This window comes from Homo sapiens, chromosome 11, assembly GCF_000001405.40.
Source record: "Homo sapiens chromosome 11, GRCh38.p14 Primary Assembly".
Taxonomy (NCBI): Eukaryota; Metazoa; Chordata; class Mammalia; order Primates; family Hominidae; genus Homo; species Homo sapiens.
This window is the reverse complement of record NC_000011.10, coordinates 117,320,440-117,341,198: the sequence shown is the minus strand read 5'-3', so window position 1 is coordinate 117,341,198 and position 20,759 is coordinate 117,320,440. Positions and strand designations below refer to the sequence as shown.

At 46.4% G+C, this 20,759-nt stretch overlaps 1 protein-coding gene and 1 pseudogene across 73 annotated transcripts in view, besides 1 other annotated feature; one reads left to right on the top strand and one right to left on the bottom strand.

Moving 5' to 3' along the window:
* CEP164 (centrosomal protein 164) overlaps positions 1-19,421 on the bottom strand; it is a 91,489-nt gene extending 72,068 nt beyond the window's left edge. For 48 of the 73 annotated variants that reach the window (XM_006718788.2, XM_047426570.1, XM_047426578.1 and 45 more), the window contains exons 1-3: positions 12,991-13,345; positions 5,519-5,594; positions 2,531-2,633 (exon numbers count right to left, since the gene is read on the bottom strand). In XM_006718788.2, the coding sequence (XP_006718851.1) occupies positions 2,531-2,612 (82 nt within the window). In that variant the 5' untranslated portion in view covers positions 2,613-2,633; positions 5,519-5,594; positions 12,991-13,345. Of the gene's footprint in view, positions 1-2,530; positions 2,634-5,518; positions 5,595-6,394; positions 6,566-12,990; positions 13,346-19,361 lie in introns of those variants that run through there. The other 25 variants (XM_017017367.2, NM_001440957.1, NM_001440951.1 and 22 more) reach the window with 6 other exon arrangements.
* On the top strand, positions 4,516-5,599 carry PRR13P3 (proline rich 13 pseudogene 3; annotated as a pseudogene).
* Positions 13,028-13,277: a silencer, noted in NCBI's record as "silent region_3938". NCBI's record gives its function as "represses an Ori minimal core promoter by ATAC-STARR-seq in GM12878 lymphoblastoid cells {active_cell/tissue: GM12878}" and the evidence as "EXISTENCE:reporter gene assay evidence [ECO:0000049][PMID:35858748]".

Genomic DNA, 20,759 nt, shown 5'->3' with positions numbered 1-20,759 from the left:
CCTTAGAAAAACCTTTGACTCCATTTACAACAGCAACCAAATGTATACAAATTTAAGAAACAGGCCATTCATGGCTAGGTGCAGTGACTCACACCTGTAATCCCAGCACTTTGGGAGGCCGAGGCAGGTAGATCACCTGAAGTCAAGAGTTCAAGACCAGCCTGACCAATATGGTGAAACCCTGTCTCTGCTAAAAATACAAAAATTAGCTGGGTGTGGTGGCGTGCACCTGTAGTCCCAGCTACTTGGGAGTCTGAGACAGAAGAATCACTTGAACCTGGAGGTTGCAGCGAGCCGAGCTCACGCCATTGCAGTCCAGCCTGGGCGACAAAGTGAGACTCCGTCTCTAAAGAGAAAGTAGGAAAGAAAGAAAGAGGCCAGTCGTAGTGGCTTATGTCTGTAATCCCTGCACTTTGGGAAGCCCAGACAGGAGGATCACTTGAACCCAGGAGTTCAAGACTAGCCTGGGCAACACAGTGAGAGCCTATCCCTACAAAAAAATTTATTTTAATTAGCCAGACACATGACATGCACCTGTAGTTCTAGCTACATGGGAGGATCACCTGAGCCCACGAGTTCAAGGCTGCAGTGAGCTATGATGGAGCCACTGCATACTAGCCTGGGTGACAGAGTAAGACTGTCTCTAAAAACAAAAATATGGAAAACAAAAAAAACACCCTATGCTATAAGCAAAGTCCAGCATTTAACATGAGATCCATGTATTCCTAGAGATGCAAGAATTGTGAACCCTGCTCTCAAGTCCATGAACCACCTGAATTATAAGCAAACTTTGTATGCCTAGATCATAACTCGTCAGAATTTCAAAGAAACTTTCACTCCAAATAATTGCATAGTGCTTCAAAGTGCAGGCCCTATGGCCAGGCACAAGTGGCTCATGCCTGTAATCCCAATCCTCTGGGAGGCCAAGACGGGGAGATCACTTGTCAGTTTGAGACCAGCCTCGCCAACATGGCAAAACCCCGTCTCTGTTAAAAATACAAAAAAATTACCCAAGCACAGTGGCACGCATCTGTAGTCCCAGCTACTAGGGAGGCTAAGGCAGGAGATTCACTTGAACCTGGGAGGCGGAGGTTGCAGTGAGCAGAGATCCCGCCACTGCCCTCCAGCCTGGGCGACAGAGTGAAACTCCATCTCAAAAAAAACAAACTAACAAAAAAAAACAAAGAACAAAGTACAGGCCCTAGAGCTTGAATACCTGGAGGTGGATTCTAGCAACACCACTTAGAATAGAACTGTATATCCACAGGAAGTTAATCTTTCTGTGCCTTGATTTCCTCATCTGTAAAATGGGGATAATAATAGTACCTAACTCATGGAGTTGCAGTGAGGGTTGAAAAGGTAATACATGGGCCAGGCATGGTGTCTCCCGCCTGTAATCCCAGCACTCTGGGAAGTGGAGGTGGGAAGATCACTTGAGGTCAGTTTGAGACCAGCCTGGCCAACACTGCAAAACCCCTTCTCTACTAAAAATACAAAAATTAGTTCCCCAGGTGTGGTGGTGGGCACCTGTAGTTCTAGCTACTCAGGAGGCTGAGGCATGAGATTCGCTTGAACCCGGGAGAGAGAGGTTGCAGTGAGCCAAGATCATACCACTGCATTCCAGCCTGGGTGACAGAGTGAGACTCTGTCTCAAAAAAAAAAAAAAAAAAAAAAAACAAAAAACAAAGGAAAAGGTAATAAGGTAATACATGCAAAGTGCTTAAAACAGACGCTGGCACATAATAAGTTATGTTGTTATTGTTACTAATAATGTTATTGTTGTTTAAAAAAACACTGCTCTAAGTTCGTGCTTAGGAAATTGGGTTTCCCCTGGTCTCAGAACACACTGTATTTAGATACCCCCTACTATGTTTCCATTTAAATCTAATCACTGCTCTAACCCAAAGACAGCAAACTTTTTCTGTAAACAACCGGAGAGTAACTATCTTACCCTTTGTGGGTCATATACCTCTCTTAACAGCCACATATCTCTGCAGCTGTAGCATAGAAGCAGCCACACACAATACATAAACCATTGTGGCTGTTTTCCAATGAAGGTGTATTTACAAAAATAGGCAAGTAGCCAGGCAAGGTGGCTCACGCCTGTAATCCCAGCACTTTGGGAGCCGGAGGCAGGCAAACCGCTTGAGGTCGGGAGTTCGAGACCAGCTTGTCCAACATGGTGAAACCCGTCTCTACTAAAAGTACAAAAAATTAGCCAGGTGTGGTGGTGCACGCCTGTAATCCCAGCTTCTCGGGAGGCTGAGGTGGGAGAATCACTTGAACCTGGGAGGCAGAGGTTGCAGTGAGCTGAGATCACGCCACTGCACTCCAGCCTGGGCAACAGAAAGAAACTTAAAAAAAAACAGGCAAGAGGCCAAGGTAGGCTCACATTTGATCTAACCCGAATATACTAAGCAACTCTGTACATGTACCATACTTTGCACTGAAAGAATAAAAATAAACCAGACAATCCCTGTCCTCAAAAAACAAACACAATACACCACAGGCCTCTTCACAGACTTGTTACCTTGCTCACTAGGAATGTAGGTCTCATCATAATCTTCTTCCAGAACCAGCTGATCTCCTATGCGGAGGGGTCGTCCAGCCATGACTCATCTGGGCTCAAACACCTAGATCCCAGAGGCCCCCACCAAAAGAGAAAAATCAGTGACCAAGCTTAACAGGGGAAAAGTTGGCACTGGGTCATGGAGCATCTGGGTCAAACCAGACCCTGCAGAGCAATTTGGCCAGGGCCTTCCCAGGCGCCAGGTATAGTGGAGGGTGAAACCAACAACTCAAGGCTCACAGGCTCTGCACCTGGCAAAGGTCTCCCAAAGGCTTGATGAACACCTGGTGAACCACAAAACATCTTCAAGCCTGGCTCTGTCAAGAGTTTGACTTTGTGCCTCCCCCAGATAGAAGAAACAATTATAATACAGAACCACCAAGTAAAAATCCTAGTGACACCAAAATAACCAGCAGCACAGACCCCCATACACCAGCACATCTCCGTGGCACACCCCCATCTCAACACATATGCCCATCTGGATGTCCCGATTCATATCCAAAATGCCCTCAGGAAGCTTACAATCCAGTGGCGGGAACGACCTCAAGAGCAGCAGAAGGCAGAAGGGAAAAAAACTTCCTGTTCTGAGAGTGCTAAGATAAGGGCAAAAAATTTCCCCAAAAAAAGGAAGGAAGGAAGGAAGGCTGGCAAGAATTCTGATGGGGGAGAAAGGCATTCTAAACAGAGGGAGCATCTTGCACAGACAGGTGTTCCAGAGTGGGGATACCAACATGTGTGACCGGCTGGTCACAGTGAGCCTTGCAGACCGTGCTAAAGAGCCTCCACCCTGTCCTACACCAGAGGGGAGTCACTGAGGGCTCTGGTGAAACAAAGTATCACAGGGTGGCCTTTTTTTAGGACAAGAATTCTGGCAAGACTGGCATGGCTGGATTGGAGAAATGAGAGACTGGTGTCAGGAAAACCACCTGAGGAGGCTGCTGCCCAGGGGCGAGATGATAAGGACTTTAACTAGGGCAGAAGCAGGGGAATGAAGAAGAGACAGTCAGAACAGACCCAGTGATGTTAAGCTTAATAGGACCAGGATATGGGGGAAAAGTGGAAAGGAGCTACATCCCTTCAAAATTCACATATGTATATATTTTACTTTTTTTTTTTTTTACAGAGATGGTGTCTCACTATGTTGCCCTGGCTGGTCTTGAACTCCTGGGTGCAAGCAATGCTCCCGCCTCAGCCTCTCAAAGTAAGAAAAATACACATATTGAAGCCCTAATCCACAATGTGACTGGTTCTTTAGGAGGTAATTAAAGTTAAATGAGGTCATTAAGGTTAAATGGCCTGATAGGATTAAAAGGAGAGGAAGAAAGGACCAGGAACCAGGGCAGCAGATGGGGCCCACTGTCTAGTGGCTTAGAGGTCTCTCTCTACCATCTGAGGACACAGCAAGAAGGCAGCTGTCTGCAAGACAGGAACCAGCAACAGACTTTGATATGGGCCTTCTAGCTTCCAGAACTATGAGAAAAGAGATTTCTGTTGTTGGAGCCCCCCAGTCTACGGTATTGTGTTACGGCAGCCCAAGCGAAGACAGAAGTCCAGCTTGAATCCAAGGTTTCTAGCTCCAGGGATGGGGCGGTGCCAAATTCTTCAACTGAGAAGCTGGTGCACTTCTAGAATTGCTCCTCTCTTCCCACCCCTACCTCAGGACCCCAGTTCCCACCAACTCTCCCCATGGCAGCTCCCATGCTGCAGCCTGATGAAGGAAGTCGCCTGGGAAACTGCTGCCACACACAGACCTGCTCAGAGCACCTCCCCAACCTGCAGAGCAGTTGGCCACACCAAATGTGACCAACAGGAGTCTGGAGCCACAAGTCCTGACCTCTCCAGTCCCCACTTCCTCAGAAGCTGCCACTGTTCCTCCTGGAGCAGCAAGGATGAAACGGCCCTCTTCAAGCAGAAAGGCCCAGCCATTAAAAACATCAGGATCTGGTAGAACGCATCAAGCCCAGGCAGCCGTGGAAAGGCTGGAGGACACACCTAAACATGTGGAATCCCAATGCCAGACAGCCAGGGCCAAATCCATATCCCCCAACACTGGGTGCCCTGGAGGTTCCAATCCTGCCCACCCACCACCTATCAATCCACCCTTTCCCCCAGGCCCCTGTCCTCCTCCCCTAGGAGTTCCCCAGGGCAATCCAGCTTTCCTCCCAGGTGGGGCCCCTCATCCTGTACCACAGCCAGGGTATCCAGGATGCCAATCCTCGGGTCCCCACCTTCCTCCATACCCACCGCCTGCCCCTGGAATCCCTCCTGTGAATCTCTTGGCTCCTGGCATGGTCAGACCAGCAGTGACAGCGGACAAGAAGATGCAGAATAAAATGAAGAAAGCTCATAAAAAGATGCACAAGCACCAAAAGCATGGCAAGCATTCCTCCTCCTCTTTCTCCTCCTCTTCCAGCAGCGATTCTGACTGAATACAGGCCCTGGACCCTTCCCTCAAGTCTCACCAGTTCTGCTCTCCCATCAAGCTTCAGAAGCCATGTTGTACTGGGGGAAAGTAGCCCTTGTGCTCCCCCCACCCCACCCCCAACCTGAGCCTCACCCTGCTGTTGAGCCCTGAATGGATAGGGAAAATGGGAAGAGGATTGCCATGGCCTGGCCATCTTCTTGCTGCTTGGATAGATCAGATAGCTAATGAGTTTAGCAGGGGAGCTATTTTTTTGAAGATGATGAACTAAATATTGAAGACAAGTTTGAGATCTGTAAAATGTGATTTTTTTTTACTTCTGCTTATAATACTTGTGATTGGGGAGGTTTGTGGAAATTTAATTATGATTAGAAACCTCTATCTTTTTTGTAATGTTGGCATACTTGGGGAATTTAGTGGCAAATACATTCCCCAGCAGGCCTTTTGTTGGTTGCACTAACTGCAAGTTTGGTGGGAAGTAGAGTCCGTTTAGTCGATGAGCTTTGACCGCCGTTTTGGAACCTTACCTCTCCTCCTTAGCCCAATATACTCTCAGGTCCTATTCTCATTCTCCAGCTCTCAGTCCAAATAAAGTTATTTCTCCTGGTTGAAAAAAAAAAAAAAAAAAGTCAAGATCTGGCCTAGAAAGGAAATGGCTGGATCTGGAGACTCTGAACCTATTCCAAGGTTCCTAGAGACCCCTGACAAGCAACAAAGGATCCATCAGGGATTGTTTACTATGGCCCCCCTCTGTACCATGACAGCTAACGGGTGGGCAACAGAGGAGTCCTGCCTTAGGACTCACAAGACATGGTTCCCTTTGTCAGTGCACTGAACCTGAAGGGAGCCAGCTTCTGCCCCTCATTCCCACCATGCCACCTCCAAGCAGGAAGAAAACACCAAAGGAAAAGGGCTTCTTTCAACAGTACATAAGCTGAAGTGGGAATGTGCTCCCAACCCTCAGAAGAACCCGTAACATCCTGCAGACATGATGCCCCACTGTGCTACACACACAGTCAGAGGCGACGCAGGCCTGACCACTGCTGACTAAAAAGCTGAGCAGAAAAGGACCAGGAACCCGGGTGGCAGATGGGGCCCACTGCCTGGTGGCTTACAGAGTCACCTGAATCTTTAATCCTCTTAGGGAGAGGAGAAGAAAAAAGGAAAGGATCCACGGGCAGGGAGGGCCCAATGGTGGCCTGAACATTAGGGTGAATAAGCACTTCCCAAGCATGTGCTCTATACGAGGTACTATCTTAACTACCTCAGAGAATTTGAGAAATTCTGCATTTGAGAAATGTCATCCCCTAGATGCATCCCATCTCCAGCAAGCACAGGACAGGTAGTCTCTGTCCACATGGCAACAAGACTAATTTGCTATATACATAATGATCTATATTTACCTTTTTTTTTTTTTTTTTTTGAAACGAAGTCTCAGTCTGTCACCCAGGCTGGAGTGCAGTGGCACGATCTTGGTTCACTGCAACCTCTGTCTCCCAGGTTCAAGCTAGTCTCTTGCCTCAGCTGCCCGAGTAGCTGGGATTACAGGCACCCCCACCATGCCTGGCTAATCTCTGGATTTTTAGTAGAGATTAGATTTCACCACATTGGCCAGGCTGGTCTCAAACTCCTGATCTCAGGTGATCCACCGGCCCTGGCCTCCCAAAGTGCTGGAATTACAGGCAGGAGCCACCGCACCTGGCGATATATTTAACTACTTAAAGATCAGGAAAACTCTGGGAAATCTGAATTCATGGATCATCCAAATTCAAATAAATGTTCTGCCAGAAAAAAATTAAAATATGGGTGGGTTGTATTCTACCTTCTTTCCTTACCTTATCAGGCTCTAGAAAAGATGTGGGCAAGGACAGGTCCAAAAGGCCAATGAGTTAAAGAAAAAAGGAACGTGGGAACAGAAGTCATATCTATTTGTCTGTATGTAGTAGCAGGATGGCTACTAAAGATCATCTACTCACTCGAGGAATATTTATTGGGCACCTACCACGTGCATTTATTTCTAGGCGCTAGAGATGCAATCGTGATTAAAAACAGATTCAGCTGCTGCTACTCTTGAGCTCGTCTGGGAAGGGAGGGAGACAAACCAATCAGTCACAGAGAAATGTATAATTAGAACCGAGGGAAGTGCTCTGAAGGAAATAAGCCTGATTTAGATGATGCCTACACTGAGAACTGAATGATGAGTAGGTATTCACTAGACAAAGAAAAAAAGGAAAGCGTGTTCTAACAGATGCATGCAAAAGTCCTTCAGCAGAAGGCAACACGAGGCAAGAAGCAGCACAGTTGGATAGGATGCTGGGGAGGCCAGTGGGAGCCAGGCCATGCAGACTTGCCCTTTATCATAACAGAACTAGGGCTGGGCACAGTGGCTCACACCTGCAATCTCAGCACTTTGGGAGGCCAAAGCAGGAGGATCGCTTGAGCCCAGGAGTTCAAGACCACCGTGAGCAACATAAGACGACCCTGTCTTACCCTGTACAAAAAAAATTAAAAATTAGCCAGGTATGGTGGTGTATACCTGTAGTCCCAGCTACAGGGGAGACTGAGGCGGGAGGATCACTTGAGCCCAGGTGGTCAAGGCTGCAGTGAGCCTTGATTGTGCCACCACACTCCAGGCTCAGTGACAGAGCAAGACCCTGTCTCAAAAAAGAGAGAGGAATGGAAGCCAGGAAATAGTTTTTCCAGATACACATTTTGAAAAACTACTCCAGAAGCTACTAGGAGTACACCCTAAAGCGGAGGCCAGATTGGAAAGAAGAAAATCAGGGCTGATGCAGAGAAATAAGGTAGAAAACCATGAGCTAGGCTAGGTAAGAGGCAATGGTAACCTGAGTTGGAGTGGTAACAGAGGATGAGAAGTCTAAGAATGCAGCCCTTGGGCCAAGCACTGTGGCTCACACCTGTAATAACAGGGCTTTGGGAGGCTAAAGCAGGAGGATCACTTGAAGCCAGGAGTTTGAGACTAGCTGGGTCAACATAGTGAGACCGTCTCTACAAAAAATTAAAAATATCAGCCATGCATGGTGACACACACCTGTAGTCCCAGCTACTTGGGGGGCTCAGGTGGGAGGATCCCTTGAGCCCAGGAGTTCAAGGCTACAGTGAGCTATGATAACACCACTGCACTCCAGCCTGGGTGACAGGGCAAGACCTGTCTCTAAAATAAATCAATAAATGAGAATGCAGCCCTTAGATCTGCCATGGCAAACAAATAGGACATGTCCTACTATTTTCCTCCAGGCCTAAAACTGTGAAGGACATCACTAGTCAATTATGGCACCCTAGACATGGCCTCAGAACCCTCAACATTGTTCACTACGTAGCAGTTACCAATAGATGAGATGAAATCCAGTGAGATCTACTTGCTGCCTAGCCTGAGACCTTCTGTGAGCCAGAGTTAGGAGGGGTCACCCAACTGCACTCATGCATCTCCTACCAATCTCAGAATCAGGCAAAAAAGGAGTGGCTCACACGTTTCCTCCAGGAAGCCTTCCCAGCCAATTTTATCCTCTCCTGTCAACCCAGAACCACCTTAGCACTGAGCTCATAATTTTCATGTGTTCCCAGACAGATTTCTCTCAATATTATTATTTTTTCTTTCTTTCTTTTTGAGACAGAGGAGTTTCGCTCTTGTTGCCCAGGCTGGAGTGCAATGGTGCGATCTCGGCTCACTGCAACCTCCGCCTCCTGGGTTCAAGCGATTCTCCTGCCTCAGCCTCCTGAGTAGCTGGGATTACAGGTATGTGCCACCACGCCTGGCTAATTCTGTATTTTTTTAGTGGAGATGCAGTTTCTCCATGTTGGTCAGGCTGGTCTCGACCTCCTATCCTCAGGTGATCCACCCGCCTCGGCCTCCCAAAGTGCTGGGATTACAGGCGTGAGCCACCGTGCCTGGCCAATATTACTTTTTTTATGAAAATGTGTCTTCTTACCTCTCCTGTTAAACCACAAACTTCTGAGGGCCATGTCTCCTCCTCTGGAATTTTCCAACAAAGCCTAAAATAAGCCTATGTAAGCTGTCGGAGCTCAGTTACTGCTGTAACTGCTAATATAAAACCAAGGAATAGGCCGGGTGTTGTGGCTCACACCGGTAATCCCAATACTATGGGGGACCAAGGCCTAGGATCACTTGAGCCTAGAAGCTCAAGACCAGCCTGAGCAATATAGTAAGACCCTGTCTCCACAAATATATATATATATATATATATTAGCCAGGCATGGTGGCGTGCACCTGTGGTCCCAGCTACTCGGAAGGCTGAGGCAGGAGCTATGTGATCAGATGGAAAGGAAGACAGAGTTACATAAAGAGTGTAAAGTGGGGAGGCAGAGGTGGGAGGATCACTTGAGACCAGGAGTTCGAGGCTGCAGTGAGCTATGATTGTACCACCATACTCCAGCCTGGGCAACAGAGTGAGACCCTATCTGAAAAAAAAAAAAAATACACCAGCAATCTCAGAAGCTAGGAAGACCCGCAGTAGTTTTGGTCCACCTTCCTTCCCATGCCAAAATTTTCCTCTCTGTGCTTCCAGTGACAGGCGGCATAGTGGTCAAAGTACCAGCTTTGGAGACAGAAGACCTGGATTCAAATCCCAGCTCTCTCACTTAGCAGCTGTATGACCTTAGGCAAGGTGCTTCACCTCTCTCAGCCTCAATAACTGCATGTGTATAATTAAAACAATCTTAACAAAAATCAAAAAGCCTGAAAGTAAAATGAAACAACACTTATAAAGTGCCTAGCACAGTCCCTGTATACAGAAAAGTTACACAAATTTAGCTAGTATTACAGATTCTATTTTCAATTCCATAGTTAGATAATTCTTAACTATTAGAAGGTCTAATAGTAAGCCAATAATCAGGTTCTAAAAAAATGTTCCCTGGTATCTCAAGTCTGCCTTCTGCTCATCTGGGGACACCCTAGGATTCTCTAGCTAAGGTAGGCTAAGTATTCCCAGTTCTCTTCCATTCAGTACATATCGTTTCCCAGTCCTTCAATATTGTGGCTACCTTGCCCTGTACTTTGTCAGCATAGCTAGAGTTTTGCACATCTGCACACTAACAGAGAATATACACTCACAGACATAATGAGGGTTCTCTGTATATTTATTTCTTCCACCCTGCTCCAACAATTACAAAGAAGGTTGACCACAGAAAAGATTGACTGGAGAAGGTAAAGGGGAGAAGGTGGAAGATGTCAGAGTTGATTACGCAGTGGTAATGAGCAAAAGCTTTGGAACATTCTTGGCTTTCAATCCCAGCTCTGCCTCTTACTAGCTGGACAGCCTCAGTTTTCTCATCTATAAAATGAGAGTACTAACAATATCCATCACAATGTGTTGTGAGGCTTATATGATTCAATACATGTAAAGTGCTTAAAATATACTAAGGTCTCAATAAATGTTAGACATTACATTATTATGACTGCTATTCACCTATTTAAAAGGGTTTATTCTACCTTGCTCCAAAGGACATATCCAGCACCAGGCAATATAAGTTAAGGCCATTCAGACATTAAGTAATCACTTTTTCTTTGCTTTTTTTTTGAGACAGAGTATCATTCTTGTCACCCAGGCTGGGGTGCAATGGCACGATCTCTGCTCACTGCAGCCTCTGCCTCCCAGGTTCAAATGATGCTCCTGCCTCAGCCTCACGAGTAGCTAGGATTACAGGCGCCTGCCACCACGCCCGGCTAATTTTTGTATTTTTAGTAGAGATGGGGTTTCACCATGTTGGCCAAGTCTCGAACTCCTGACCTCAGGTGATCCGCCCGCCTTGGCCTCCCAAAGTGCTGAGATTACAGGCGTGAGTCACCGCGCCAAGTAATCACTTACTGAACACCCACCATGGGCCAGACATTGTGCGACGTGTTAGGGCTACAAACCTGATTACACATGGCCCTGAACTTGAGCTCAGCCTACCTGGAAAGCCAAACACGTAAACACATGACTACAAAATGTGTTACATGAATTAAAGGAAGTAACATAATATATAACAGAACACAAAGGTAAGGGCAAATAATCTTAGGAAGATCAGGGAAAGCCTCACAGAGGACAATTGAGATAGTTCTTGAAGGATAAGCAGGTGATCCCCAGGATAAGCGGAGTAAGGGAATTCACGGCAGAGGAACAACATGCACAAAGGCAAAAAAGAAGAAAATCATAAGGTGGGTGCAAAGAATTAATTATGACAACAAAAGCTTATAGCCACTGAACACTTCCTATGTTACAGGAACTGTACTGAGTGCTCTATATACATCATCTCACTTCATCCACTCAGCAAAATAGAATTATCTTCACTTTTCAAATAAGGAAACTGAGGCTTAGCAAAGTTAAAAAAAAAAAAAAAAAAAAAAAGGCCAGGCGCAGTGGCTCACGCCTGTAATCCCAGCACTTTGGGAGGCGGAGGTGGGCGGATAATGAGGTCAGGAGATCCTGACCAGCCTGGCCAACATGGTGAAACCCCGTCTCTACCAAAATACAAAAAATTAGCCAGGAGTTGTGGTGCCCACCTGTAGTCCCAGCTACTCGGGAAGCTGAGGCAGGAGAATCGCTTGAACCCAGGAGACTGAGACTGCAGTGAGCCAAGATCGCACCACTGCACTCCAGCCTGGGCGACAGAGCAAGACTCTATTTCAAAACAAACAAACAAACAAACAAACTTGCCCAAGGTGTCACAGCTAATAAACGGTAGAGCAGAATATGTAAGTATCCATGTCTGACTCCAAAGCCCAAACTCTTAACCATTCTGACATGACCAGAGTGCAAGGGACAGTGGGAGGAGTGGCAAGACAGAGCTCTAGAATGAAAGGCAAGAGCATATTATAAAGGGCCTGGAAGAACAGAGGCTCTATCCTGTAAATGATGAGGGGCCATCACAGGATTTCACAAAGGAGACTGGCATGACCAGATCTGTAGGTCAGATAGACGATTCTAGCCAAGAATAGTGGTGCATGCCTGTAGTCCCGTCTACTAAGGAGACTGAGGTGGGAGGATGGCTTGAGGGCAAGAGTTCGAGGCTGCAGTGTACTAGGGTCACACCGGTGAATACCAACTGCACTCCAGCCTGGGCAACATACCAAGACCCTGTCTCTAAAATAAATAAATGATTCTGACAGCTGCATAAGAACTAATTACAGGAGGACAAGAACTGAGGCAGAGAGACCACTTAGGAAGTTATCCTGAAAGCACAAGCAAGAAATTATGAACTAAGTCAGTGTCTGTGAGGATGGAAAGGAAGCGCCAGATTCTAGGGGAATTAAGAGGCAGAATACAGGACTTGAACTTCGGGAGAGAGGAGGGAAATCAGAGCACTAAAGCCAGAACACTGTGACTATCATTTCTAGATGTGTTCATTTCTATGCCTCGTCCAATAGGCAGCCCCACCTACTACACTGCCTAGAAGACAGGGCATGTCCGACAAATGTTTGCTGTATTTATTAGATGAATAAATTAAAGGGACAGACTTGGCTGAGTGAATGGTGAAGCCCTTCATTGAGATAAAAAAATACAAGAGGAGAAACAGATCGGAGGGACCGGGGAAGGCTGACGATGACAGTAAGCAGGTCTGAGCTCAGGAAAGAGGTCTGGCTGGAGTAGTTTGGCGAGTCAACGCTGAAAAGCTGATAACGCAAGAGATGGAGTGCGCCGAGTAGAAGGGAGCTTTCTACTGCCAAGGACTGAGTTAGGAGAACGGACAGGGAGTCGCTGAAGCCAAGTGAGGAGAGCGGTGCCAGAGGTAGAGGGACATTTTTAAATCCAATGCAAGAAAAGGAAAAAACAAAAAAGCTTTCCAACTTTCCCAGCTGGCCAAAGATGGCATAAGATTGGGCTAGCCCCGGATTTGGACCCGGGGGGAAGCCTGCCACAGAAGTATCCCAGCAAGCTTCGGAAGGCCTGGCCTCACTCGCCAACGATGAACAGAGCAAGCAAACCAGGGCCCCGTGCCCAGTGCCCCTCTCCCGCGTCCCGACCCGCTGCTCACTCACCCGCCAGACCCCCAGCCCGGGCCCGGTGGCCCGCTCAGGAGCCGGCGAGATTTCAAACGGAGGAACTGTCGCCTGGCAGTCCGATTTTCACTTCTTCCCTCAGTCCCCGCCCACACTCGAGCGCATCACGCTCGTTGGCTCGAGAGCGTGCCTCGGGTCCCCCGCCACGCTCGCTCCCTTCCCCGCCGCCCAACCCCTCCCTCGATGAGGTCCTCAACTATCCCCCACCCCGGAAGGCTCCGGGCGAGGCTCCGGGCGAGGCTCTGGGCGAGGCGCAGCTCCCCCAACGCCACCCAACACCCACCCGCTCCCCCAGCTTCCAGGGACGCCGGGGTGTTGCCCTGCAGCGCGCAACAAACACTTCCGGAAAAGGTACCGCCTAGCAACCGGGAGTCCCGCCTCCAGCAGGAGCCAATAGGTCGCCGGCTGAGAGCTGTGACAATGGATTGGCTCGAAGTCCCTTCGGTGCACGCAGGAGCTCTGTCCGTTTTCCGTTGCACGATGGGAGTGTAGTTTAAGATAGATAATGGGAATCCGCAAGAGGTTGAAAGAGTGTAGTTTAAGATAGATAATGGGAATCCGCAAGAGGTTGAAAGAGAACCTCATCGGCTGGGCGCGGTGGCTCACGCCTGTAATTCCAGCAATTTGGGAGGCCGAGGCGGGTGGGTCACCTGAGGTCAGGAGTTCGAGACCAGCCTGACCAACATGGTGAAACCCCTTCTCTACTAAAAAAAAAAAAAAAAAAAAAAGAGGACCCCGAGTTTAGACGTGAGGATTTCTGCCAGGACAGAGAAGGACTATTTAGAGTATTTATACTAATGTGAATTATCTAATTATCTAATTGATCATTTGTTAGGAGTATGATTAACATCAGGTGAATAATACAGTGGTCATCAATAATCAACCCATTGTTACTTTAATCAACAAAACAAATGTGAATGTAAGGTAATGGAGACGCGTCCACTCCCCATCTCTCCCCGCAAAAAAACTGGCTCTCCTGTGCTCCTATTAAACCAGTGAGCACCTGACCAGGAGTTAAACCTATTTTCTACTATCCATCTTTTCACCAAAGCCCAGGGTTCAGTTTGTATGTCTGCAAGATGGGGATAGTAATGTCTGTCATAACTATTTCAAAGAGTCTATTGAAGAAGAAAAAAAGTGACACAATGTGTAGCTCCTCCACACACCCTGTCGGGCAGAAAGGTTGCTACTAATATAATTCCGAAGAGTTTTAGTTTTGCTTGCACGGAGGGCAAATCTTCCTTTCTCTCATATGTCTCCAACCTCCTAGAGAAGTTAAGAGGGGCAAAGAAAGTTCTGGCCATTACATCAATAGGAAAACTGAGAAACAGACAAATACAGATGCTGCTAGTTGAGGAGGAAAATGATGAGGCCAAGCTCATAGAGCCGCTCCTGATAGGTTCTAGAGATGTAGCTGACTCAGGATAGTCCCAGTGCCACTCAGAGGCTGATTCCAGGATGAGAAACTCAGATTGTTGGAATATACAGAGCATATTCCTTGTGAAAATTATCAAAATCAAAATAGAGTCATTTGTTTTAAAACCCTGACAAATGGAGCCAGGGAAGACCATGAAGAGAGGGTTCTCACGCATGAATACCTGATAACAAAAACTATCGACCGGGCCTGGTGGCTCATATCTGTAATCCTAGCACTTTGCCAGGCACAGTGGCTCACACCTGTAATCCCAGCACTTTGGGAGGCCAAGGCGGGTGGATCACCTAAGGTCAGGAGTTCGAGACCAGCCTGGCCAATATGATGAAACCCCGTCTCTACTAAAAATACAAAAATTAGCTGGGCATGGTGGCACACGCCTGTAGTCCCAGCTGCTCAGGAGGCTGAGGCAGGAGGCTGAGGCACTTAAACCCGGGAGGTGGAGGTTGCAATGAGCCCAGATCAAGCCACTGCACTCCAGTCCAGCCTGGGTGACAGAGCAAGACTCCGTCTAAAAAAATAAATAAAATAAAAATTCCTACTTGAGCCAGGCACAGTGGCTCATGCCTGGAATCCCAGAACTTTGGGAGGCCAAGGCAGGTGGATCACCTGAGGTCAGGAGTTAAAGACCAACCTGATCAACATGGAGAAACCCCATCTCTACTAAAAAATACAAAATTAGCCAGGCATGGTGGTGCATGCCTGTAATCCCAGCTACTCGGGAGGCTGAGAGAGGAGAATCGCTTGAACCCAGGAGGCGGAGTCTGTGGTAAGCCAAGGTCTCGACATTGCACTCCAGCCTGGGCAACAAGAGCGACACTCCGTCTCAAAAAAAAAAAAAAAAAAAAAAGGTCCTACTTGCCCAGCCTCTATGGCATGTGTATACCTATTGCAATGCTACTTCTAAATAAATATCATTTTCTTTTGGAGTTTCCCTCTCTGTTATTTAGATTGACGTCATCATGTTTAAATTTAAATCCTTCTGCAGCAGTTATGCCTATACTTCCTTTATTCTTACTGTAAATGACAAATCATCGTCCCCTTTCCTCTCCATCTTCTTTAAAAGTCTTGGCCGGTCACAGTGGCTCACACCTGTAATCCCAGCATTTTGGGAGGCCGAGGCAGGCAGATCGCCTGAGGTCAGGAGTTTGAGACCAGCCTGGCTAACATGGTGAAACCCCATCTCCACTAAAAATACAAAAGTTAGCTGGTTGTGGTGGCAGGCACCTGTAATCCCAGCTACTCGGGAGGCCGAGGCAGGAGAATCGCTTGAACCCAGGAGGTGGAGGTTGCAGTGAGCCGAGATCTCGCCATTGCACTCCACCCTGTTTGACAAGAGCGAAGCTCTGTCTCAAAAAAAGAAAAAAGTAGGCCAGGCTGTGGTGGCTCACACCTGTAATCCCAGCACTTCGGGAGGGTGAGGCAGGTGGATCACCTGAGATGAGGAGCTCAAGACCAGCCTGGCCAACATGGCAAAACCCTGTCTCTACTACAAACACAAAAATTCACTGGGCGTGGTGGCACACACCTGTAGTCCCAGCTACTTGGGAGGCTGAGGCAGGAGAATCGCTTGAACCCGAGAGGCAGGGGTTGCAGTGAGCCAAGATCACGCCACCGCACTCCAGCCTGGGTGACAAAGTGAGACTCTGTCTCAAAAATAAATAAATAAATAAATAAATAAAGGTCTCACTGAGGGGCCAAAGGGACCAGACTGGGAAGGAATTCTGGGCTCACCAGCTCATCTACCACAAACCTGCACAAAACAGGGATTCAAAAAACCATTTGTAGACTTGGTCCCTATATCTAAGAATTTGCAATCTTTGCAATCAATCTGGTTTTTTGTTTGTTTGTTTGTTTGCTTTTTGAGATACAGTCTTACTCTGTCACCACCATGCCAGGCTAATTTTTGTATTTTTAGTAGAGACAGGGTTTCACCATGTTGGCCAGGCTGGTCTTGAAATCCTGACCTCAGGTGATCCACCCACCTCGGCCTTCCAAAGTGCTGGGATTACAGGCATGAGCCACCACGCCCAGCCCTGTTGATTTTAATTGCCATCCAAATGCTTAACTCTTGTGCCTTAGCATGGGTTCCTTGCTCTCTCATGGGAAGAGCTAATAAAATAAGAGATACTGTGGGATTAACAGGATTACCTTCACACAAATCAACAATTTGCATTTTATCAGGTTTCCCCATAGGTTTGTACTCAGAAATGCAAGCCAATTTATAAAATGCCCCCAAGGCAAACATAATTTAAAAAGTAAGACTTTGGGGGGAAAATAACAAAAATGACACACAAATTTTTTTTTTTTTTTTTGAGAGGGAGTTTGTTGCCCAGGCTGGAGTGCAGTGGTGCAATCTCAGCTCACTGCAATCTCTGCCTCCTGGGTTCAAGCGATTCTCCTGCCCCAGCCTCCCAAGTAGCTGGGACTACAAGCATGTGCCACCACACCGGGCTATGTTTTGTAGTTTTAGTAGAAATGGGCTTTCATCATGTTGGCCAGGCTGGTCTTGAACTCCTGACCTCAGGTGATCTGCCTGCCTTGGCCTCCCAAAATGCTGGGATTACAAGCATGAGCCACTGTGCCCATCCTGACACACTAAATGATATACCAGTAATATACCCAATGAGTGAAGAAGAGAGAGAGGACTTCACTCATAGGTTGTCTTCTACAGTAAGGATGAACATTTAGGGGTCATATTTCAAAGATGGGAAAGAATTGATGACAAATTTTTTCCCTACTCCTAGGTCAGAAACCACTATTAGAACTTTTTCTTACAACTCAACAGCCAAAACAAGAGAAAAAAAACCAAATAACCGGATTTTTAAAATGGGCAAACTGCCTTAAAAGACATTTCTCAAAAGAAGATATACAAATGGCCAACAGGTACGTGAAAAAATGTTCAACGTTACTAACCATGAGGGAAATGCAAACCAAAACCACAATGAGATACCACCTTATTCCAGTTAAAATGGCTACAATAAAACAGACAAAGGAAAACAAAAGCTGGTGAGGATATGGAGAAGAGGGAATACTTAAAATGTTGGTGGGACTGTAAATTAGTACAATCACCATGGAAACTGTATGGTGGTTCCTCAAAAAATTAAAAATAGAACTACCACACAATCCAGCAATCCCACTACTCAGTATATATCCAAAGGAAATGAAATTAGTATGTTAAAAAGATTTCAGCACCCCCATGTTAACTGCAGCATTATTTACATTACCCAAGATATGCAATGAACCCAGCTGTCCAACAACAGATGAATGGAAAAAGAAAATGTGGTATATATACACAATGATATAACATTCAGCCATAAAAAAAAATGGAATCCTACCATTTGCAACAACATGAATGAACCTGGAGGACATGGTGTTAAGTGAAATAAGCTAGGCACAGAAAGACAAATACCGCATGATCTCAGTCATGTGGAATTAAAAAAAAAAAAAGTTGATCTCATAGAGAGTAGAACAGTGGTTACCAGATTGAGGAAAAGAGAGCAGAAGATGGGAAAAGGTTGGTCAATGAGTATAAAGTTACTATTAGAAGGAATAGGCTGGGCACGGTGGCTCATACCTGTAATCCCAGCACTTTGGGAGGTGGAGGTGAGTGGATCACTTGAGGTCAGGAGTTCAAGACCAGCCTGGCCAACGTGGAGAAACCCCGTCTCTACTAAAAATACAAAATTAGGCCAGATGCGGTGGCTCACACCTGTAATCCTAGCACTTCGGGAGGCTGAGGTAGGCAGATTGCCTGAGCTCAGGAGTTCGAGACCAGCCTGGGCAACACAGTGAAACCCCGTCTCTACTAAAATACAAATAATTAGCTGGGCATGGTGGCGTGAGCCTGTAGTCCCAGCTACTTAGGAGGCTGAAGCAGGAGAATTGCTTGAACCTGGGAGGTGCAGGTTGCAGTGAGCCGAGATCACGCCACTGCACTCCAGCCTGGGTGACAGAAAAGACTCCATCTCCAAAAAAAAAAAAAAAAAAAAAAAAAATCTATCTATATACATATATATATATAAACACAAAATATGCCAGGCGTGGTGACACATGCCTATAATCTCAGCTACTTGGGAGGCTGAAGCAGGAGAATCACTTGCACCCGGGAGGCAGAGGTTTCAGTGAGCCAAGATCGTGCCATGCACTCCAGCTTGGGCAACAAGAGTAAAACTCTGTCTCAAAAAAAAAGAAAAAGGAAAAGGAGGAATAAATTCTGGTATCCTATTGCACAGTAGGGTGACAATGGTTAACAGTAACACTGATACGGTATATTTCAAAATAGCTAGAAGAGAGACTTTTGAATGTCCTTACCACAAAGAAATTATAAATGCATAATGTGGGCCGGGCGCGGTGGCTCACGCCTATAAATCCAGCATTTGGGAGGTCGAGGCGGGCGGATCATGAGGTCAGGAGATCGAGACCATCCTGGCTAACATGGTGAAACCCCATCTCTACTAAAAATACAAAAAATTAGCCGGGCATGGTGGTACACGCCTGTAGTCCCAGCTACTCAGGAGGCTGAGGCCGGAGAATCCCTTGAACCTGGGAGGTGGAGGTTGTAGTGAGCCAAGATCACGCCACTGTACTCCAACCTGGGCAACAGAGCGAGACTCCACCTCAAAAATAAATAAATAAATAAAGTGGTGGTCATGCTAAATATCCTGATGTGATCATTATGCAACATATATATGTATCAAAATATCAAATTGTACTCCATAAACATGTACAATTAAATGTTAATCAAAAAACAGTAACAGCCGAGAGCAATGGCTCACATCTGTAATCCCAACACTTTGAGAGGCCGGGGCAGGAAGATCCTTTGAGGCCTGGAGTTCAAGACCAGCCTGGGCAATATAGTGAGACCCAATCTCTTAAAAAAAAACCCAAAAATTTAACCAGGCTTGATGGTGTGTACCTGTAGTCTCATCTACAGAGGCTGATGTGGAAGGGTCACTTGAGCACAGGAGGTCAAGGCTGTAGTGAGCCATGATCATGCCACTGCACTGCAGCCTGAGTGACAGAGCAAGACCCCATCTCTAAATACAAATAAATAAACAAGCATTTTAATTCTGGGAAAAAAATAACTTTTTATTCTCTTTTTTATACTGTTTATTTGGGCTATACAGAAAACTACTCACATGATAAGAAAGGAAAACACTTGATAATCCTACCAATTATTTAAGGATACAAAGATATAAAATGTTCCCTCTACACTTTCAATCCACTTTATTTGAAACTGCAAACCGCCCTCCCATCTCCTTTCTCTATTTTATTTTTCTCTATAGCACATATCACCATCCAAGATACTATAATTTTATTTCTTTACTGTCTGTCTTCCTGCATTAGAGTGTAAGCTCCATGAGGACAGGGATTTTACATATCATTGTATCCTCAGTGCCTAAAATAGTGCTTAGCGTGTAGTAGGCACTCAGTGTACATTTACTGAATGAATGAATGAGCAAACTAAGGAAGAAATTAAACCCTACACTTCAAAGGAAACCACTGTTGACACTGTGGGTGCTATCTTCCATATTTTTTTATGCTTATGCAGATGTAAATGTATATACCTACATATTTATGCATATATGCACAGCCCATTCTTTTTAATTTTTACAGAAATGAGATCATAATGTTATTGTTCTAACATGTGCTTTTTTTTTTTTTTTGATACGTAGTCTCACTCTGTCACCCAGGCTACAGTGCATTGGCATGATCTTGGCTCACTGCAACCTCCGCCTCCCGGGTTCAAACAATTCTCTGCCTCAGCCTCCCGAGTAACTGGGATTCCAGGCATCCGCCACCACGCCCAGCTAATTTTTGTATTTTTAGTAGAGACAGGGTTTCACCATCTTGGCCAGGTTGGCCCTGAACTCCTGATTCACGCGCCTTGGCCTCCCAAAGTGCTGGGATTCCAGGTGTGAGCCACCACGTCAGGCCCCTGACATGCTTTCTTTAACTTGTCATAAACAGGCCGGGCGCGGTGGCTCACACCTGTAATCCCAGCACTTTGGGAGGCCGAGGCAGGTGGATCACGAGGTCAGGAGTTCGAGACCAGTCTGGCCAACGTGGTGAAACCCCATCTCTACTAAAAACACAAAAATTAGCCAGGCTGGCCAACATGGCAAAACCCCATCTCTACTAAAAATACAAAAATTAGCCAGACATGGTGGCACACGCCTGTAATCCCAGCTACTCAGGAGGCTGAGGCAGAGAATTGCCCAACGTGGTGAAACCCCATCTCTACTAAAAACACAAAAATTAGCCAGGCTGGCCAACATGGCAAAACCCCATCTCTACTAAAAATACAAAAATT